Source organism: Homo sapiens, chromosome 15 (genome assembly GCF_000001405.40).
Source record: "Homo sapiens chromosome 15, GRCh38.p14 Primary Assembly".
Taxonomy (NCBI): Eukaryota; Metazoa; Chordata; class Mammalia; order Primates; family Hominidae; genus Homo; species Homo sapiens.
Genome location: NC_000015.10, coordinates 36,522,874 through 36,529,007, shown reverse-complemented (window position 1 = coordinate 36,529,007; position 6,134 = coordinate 36,522,874). Strand labels below are relative to the sequence as shown.

Here is a 6,134-nt window from a genome sequence, read left to right as displayed (position 1 = left end):
GTAAGATTTTTTAAAAAATCTTTATTCTTTGGCAAAGATCTGAATCTAGCTGAAATTCTAAATCCAGGCACCTATCAAAATCATTCACGAATTGCTTGTTATTTTTTCAGATTATGCTCAAAATCTACTCTGGGAGCAAAATTCTGTTTGTGAAGAGATATGCCAATCACATGCATTTAGATTTAGGTGTTGCAGCTCCATTTTCTGGCTTTACCAGATAAAATTACCCATGGACTTTACAAAGTAAAGCATGGACCTCAAAAGTACATAAGACAATTAGTTAGGTAGACATTTGTTTTTGGATAATACAGATTATACAGAGCTCTATCTGAGTGAAAAAATATGGTGAAATTAAAGCTTATTTTGAGTATCCATCACTGGTTATTTCTGGCATAGTTGTCAACAATGCTATTTTACATTTTGTGTTTCTTAAATGGTCTTCCAAGCACACTAAGCATTTAATACATATGCAAATATTAGCAAAATCTAACAACTTCATTTTTTTTTAAACCTTCACATGCCAGGGTGTCTTAAAATGTGAATTTTATACAATAGGTTATTTAGCTTTTCAACAAGCTACCACAGGGTTAGAAGTGAGTAAGCCAAAAGTCCTGACTGAGTTTTGGGATTGAAGCTGATGGGAATATTCTCCAGAACCTAGCTTAAGTGGAATGCATCCCCCTTCTGTTGGTCAGTGGCCTTTATAATGTGGACATGGAAAAGAGAAGGTTGGGCATCCGGGCTGTGCAGGTGGAAACAATTAAGATTCAAAAGCGATTTTGAAAACGGATTTGCTTTTCTCTTTATTCTCCACATAAAAAGTAGTGCTAGGTTCCTAAAATCTTTCACCCACTCACTAAATAAATGCATTGGTAGAACATTTGAGGTTTTATTGCTTATGATTTAAAATCTACCTTATAGAACATATGGAATATGTATATATATTCATCTATAAACACACATATATGGTCAAATCTGTGTTTCACATCAAACATCTACTGTATGTTTCACTAGGGAGACAAGACCCATGTGTTTTGCAGAAGCTTTTAAAGCTGTTTCATTTATTTTATTAGCCTTTAATGAATGTAATTAGAACCCAAGTAATTAAATGCAATTGTGCTCAGTATGTTCCTGTTGTAAATTGCCCTAAACAATGTGCATCGTGTGAACAAATTTGTGGGATTAATCGAGGATAGATAATGTTTTTGGATAGTATTTCACACTAAACGGCCGCAGAGAGAAACAAAGAAGCTGGCGCAGTGTCATTAATCTTAGTCAACTGGCAGCTCTGGTGTAATTTGCATGACTTAGACAGTGACACAGGATGAGGCTTGCTTGGGATGGGTGTTAGATCACTATGATACGTATGTATTTATTCCCCTTTAGTCTCCTGATTTATAAGCAGAAAGAAGTTTGTATGTGGAAACGGATAAAAACAACAGTGTTAATGGAAGGAGTTGTAGATTACCGAATTATTACTGGCAATATACATGTTCCTTTGTTTTCATATTGAGCATTTCTGTTTTATGGATGTTAAAAAGACATCTGTGAATCCCTGTCAGGATAGAAAAAAAAAAAAGGCAGCTATATTGTGGCTGGATAGTGGGATACCAGTAGAAGAAGTTTGGCTTTTTATTTTCTTCCTTCTATATCTAATATACATTGATTCATTGCTTTAGGAACCTGTCCCTTTCAGGAGAGGCACTTTTGAATTGCATTACAGAAAACCGTCAAACTCCACTTAAGAAAATATCATTTGGAAATAAGCTCTTGGAAACATGGATAGCAAATGCAAATGCTTTCCTTTTTCATCATAAGATGTAGAATGCAACTCTGAATTACAGAAACAATTAGATAAGACATTCTAAGAAAAGCACACAAATGGAGCTTCAAATGTCATAAGAGATGACAAATAAAAGGTAAATGAATTTGGGGAATTTTGAACTGAAATGACCATGCCCTCATGACCTAACGGACATGCTAATCTTAGCATACACAAGTGTATCTGACATTTATGAGCAGTTGGTCCAGGCCATTGTGTTCTTTTCTTTTGATGGAGATAAAGTTGCTTTCAAAATTACCTATAACGCAGCCAGATAATTTTGAGGAAAGCACATACAGCTACTTTCTTTGCAAGTGCAATAATTATACATAAGCTATATTTAAATATTCGTGAGGGAACCTTACGCACAAAGCAGTGTATCTACTCTAAAGTATGAATATTGGTTCAAAGAACTAATAGCAAATTTTAGACTGAACTTTACATAATTTTTTCTTCTACATACCTGTTTTGTTTTTCTATTAATTTCTTCTAATTTTTCAAAAATTATGTAATCTATCCTTCTAAAATTGAATTACAACTATAAACCTATAAACTTTAATGAGTTTTACCCTCAGCAAAAGAAGACTTGTCTTGCTTTAGTGATTGTATATCTTTGAATAAAACTTGCTGGACTACGGAAACTTAATCTCTCTCTTGTCTCTCTTCTTTCCCTTTCTCTCACATCTATATAGGCACCATAGTATGTGTGTGAGTGTGTGTGGGTGCATGCATGTGTGTGTGGAAAGACCTAATTTTATGTTCTTATTTCACGAACATTTAAAACAACAAAATAATTAACAATTCATGAGCATAACTGACTCCTATTAATATGCCATTTGTCTGTACACCCTGTTCAACATTTAAAGACCTAGGACAGAATCTAACATGAATTTAAAGACCTAGGTAGAATCTAATATGAGAGCAACATAGTGATATAACATTAAAATGAGTCATATTTAACACAGTGCCTAGAAATAGGCACATTAATGCAAAAACTCGTATGGCAGCCTAGCTATAGTTAAAATGATATAGGACATTGTTAATTTCAAATATTAGACAAATCTCTTGGAATGAGAAGAAACATGCAGTTTAATATTGTGGTCATGCTTATTGTTCCAGACTGGTTGGGCATTGGCGTGAGAGGAAGGAAGATGTTGTCTATGTAGTCAACCCTTCTTTCCATGAATGTTATAGTCACTGGAGGGCCATTTGATTTAATAGAAAAAAAGGCGGTTTTTCCAACCCTGGCAGAAATATTATTCCAAAAAGGATGTAAACTGTGGCTCCTCAACTGGGCATTGTAACTGATCATCATATGATTTAGTCATTGTGTTGTGTGAGTGATCACTACCATTTCTATGTTCTTTGTTGTCCAAGTCAAAAATACACGTGTGGCAGAAGTAATTTGTCCAGAGTACTCAGAGAAAAGAATTTCTACTCAGTTGCACAGAGTAAATGAAAGTAATTTACTGAAAGTCTTTGCCTGGTATTATTTTGGTATGTAGTCCAAGACATGATTAGAAGAACCTGTACATGCCAGATATGTCATTAATTGCTGTGTCAAGTCTTCAACGGAATTGTGATTGATGCTGCCAGCTTGCAGGATCTGACTTCCCTTAGAGCATTCGGTATCTTTTTGTATTTATTGCAACATTCTGCTTTAAAATTTGTACAGCAATGTTTCTATTATTGACTTAAATCTTACAAATTCTTGTCTTTACAACCTATGAGATGCTTCTGAAATTAAACCCCCAAAGGCTTACACAGAATATAGACACTTGGAAGAAAAAAATATATATATTTTTTAAAAATCAGAGTTGCATCTACATGAAGACTCTAACTATTGAGACTTTAAAAATAGCTATAATTAAAGCTATTGAAGCATCTGTATTATAAAATCCTATTAAGACACTGAGAAAAAGCGATAAGCCCATACTCATTCATTCATTATTAACAAGTAGGTTTGCTTGTAAGGGATCACATTTTTAGAAGAAGTTCAGAAAATTGTTCTGAAATTCACATTTTAAAAACTTGTGTTCTCTGTAGTTCTTTAAACTCTTTTCCCCTTAATATTCCTATCTGCCAAATTGGTAAAAACAAACAAATAAACAAACAAACAAACTTACTTCAAATGAATTTAGAAGTATGCATATGAGAAAAGAAATAAATTTCTAGAGGCCATTGTTCAATGGTAAAGTAGCGTTAGTAGTTAATGATCTTTGAATGGAAGCTCTTAATGTACCTTTGGTGAAAGATGGTGGAAGATGCTTTGGACTAAGTCTAAAACTGAGGTGCAAATGGTAGTTTTGCTCTTTACAAGATGTGTGATTTTAGGCAATTCTTATATTTTCTTATCTGTCATGAAGGAATGATAAACCTGAGTCTGAACCAAATATTTAAACAGGGTATTTTGGCTGGACTCAGAGCCTGAGACCTAGATGCTATACATGATCGAGGTACATCACTTCTCCCCTAACATGCCTGTTGCATTTAGAGCTTGGGTACTTCCAAGAGGAACTGAGCAGTATATTAGTGAGGGTAGAACATTTATGGTGACCAGCAGAGACAGGCATGTTACAGCCGAACAACATATGAGTTTGTCAGGCCTGGATATGTATTCAGGGCAACAGGGCAGCTCTTCTCCACATGGTCATTCAGGGACCCAGGCTCCTTTTACTATGTGGCTCTGTCATCTCCAAAGTCCTCATTATTATTTAAAACTGGTCAGCAGAAAGAGAAATAGCATGAAGAATCATACAGAGGATTTGTTATAGACTGAATCTTCATCACTTCTCAAATTCCACTGGCAAGAATTTGGTCATAAGGTCAAACCCTAACTTCATGAGAGCCTAAGAAATGTTGTCTACCTATATGCTTGAAGAGGAAGAAAAATTAAATGGAATTAATGGATGGCAGTGGTCTCTGCACCAAGCATATCCCTTTTGCTACATATCTACATATACCTGCATTTATAAATTTACATAGGGGTAGACTAGTCTTTTGAGTTAAAAGAGACTTTAGATCTGAACCTGTCAGTCTCAATCCCCAAATAAAGCTGAAAGATTATTAAAAACACGTCTGATGAGCTACGGAGGCTCAGATCAAAACAGTATTTTTTTAGAAAAGACAGTAGACTCCCTCAGAGAAACCTCTGTGAGGAGCTCAGATCCAGAAGCCAGAAGTTCTTGCTGTGGGACTTGTTACAGGCCTTCACCGGAGCAGCTCTTTCCATTGTCACGTATGCAGCTCTTTGATTCATCGCATGACCTTGGCACCAGTTGGCTGGGTCTGGGGCATTTTGGTATTAGGCATCAATTGCTTAGATTTAGTCATCCCGAAGACCTCTTGGTGTAAAGTGAATGGGAAATGGGGCTCAGGGTCTGTCTTGTAATTGGGAATATTAATACATGAACATCATTTGAAACCACGTACAAGTAAACGTTGGGTATACATGTTACCCCCAAAAAACATTAAGTAACTGCAAAAATATAAAATTTTAGCAGACTATTTGTAATGATGGTCTTCAGTAGCATATATTTCTAAAACGGGATGCAAGTAATATTTTATAATTTGTAGGGTGTGTGTGTAGACTGTATAGAAAACTGTGCAAAATTGGTCCCCATTTTATATGTGAACCCATTTTAAAAGGTTGTTCTTGGCAGGCCAGGCGCGGTGGCTCATGCCTGTAATCCCAGCACTTTGGGAGGCTGAGGCAGGCAGATCACGAGGTCAGGAACTCGAGACCAGCCTGGTCAACATGGTAAAACCCTGTGTCTACTAAAAATACAAAAAATTAGCCAGGCGTGCACCTGTAGTCCCAGCTACTCAGGAGGCTGAAGCAGAAGAATCGCTTGAACCCGGGAGGCAGAGGTTGCACTGAGCCAAGATAGAACCACTGTACTCCAGCCTGGATGACAAAGCTAGACTTCATCTCAAAAAAAAAAAAAAAAAAAATTTGTTCTTGGCATGCAGAGCATGAGGGTCATAAACACTTGTACCTTGCTTAATACATGGGAGGTGTTCAAAAATAGTAACTCTCTTTATTGCGCAGCCATTATACACAAATTATATATGTTCTCACTTTTAAGCCTCTAAACAACCTGATGAAGTAAATATAAGTACTCTTGTTTTAAAGATGAATAAATAAACTGCGATTTCAGTAAAATGCACAAGGTGCCAGAGCTATGGAACAGCAAAGCCAGGATTCAAATTCTGTCAATCAAAATCCAAAGTCTGCATTTATGCTATTTGGGTTGGCAAATAAATATTGACTAGTATAGGCCAGCAATAGTGGTGCAAAGAAGGAGACTGA

The 6,134-nt window shown here is 36.0% G+C and overlaps 1 annotated feature.

Moving 5' to 3' along the window:
- Positions 514 to 2,188: an enhancer, noted in NCBI's record as "VISTA enhancer hs355". NCBI's record gives its function as "enhancer in: neural tube[10/11] | hindbrain (rhombencephalon)[10/11]" and the evidence as "EXISTENCE:transgenic organism evidence [ECO:0001131][PMID:17130149]".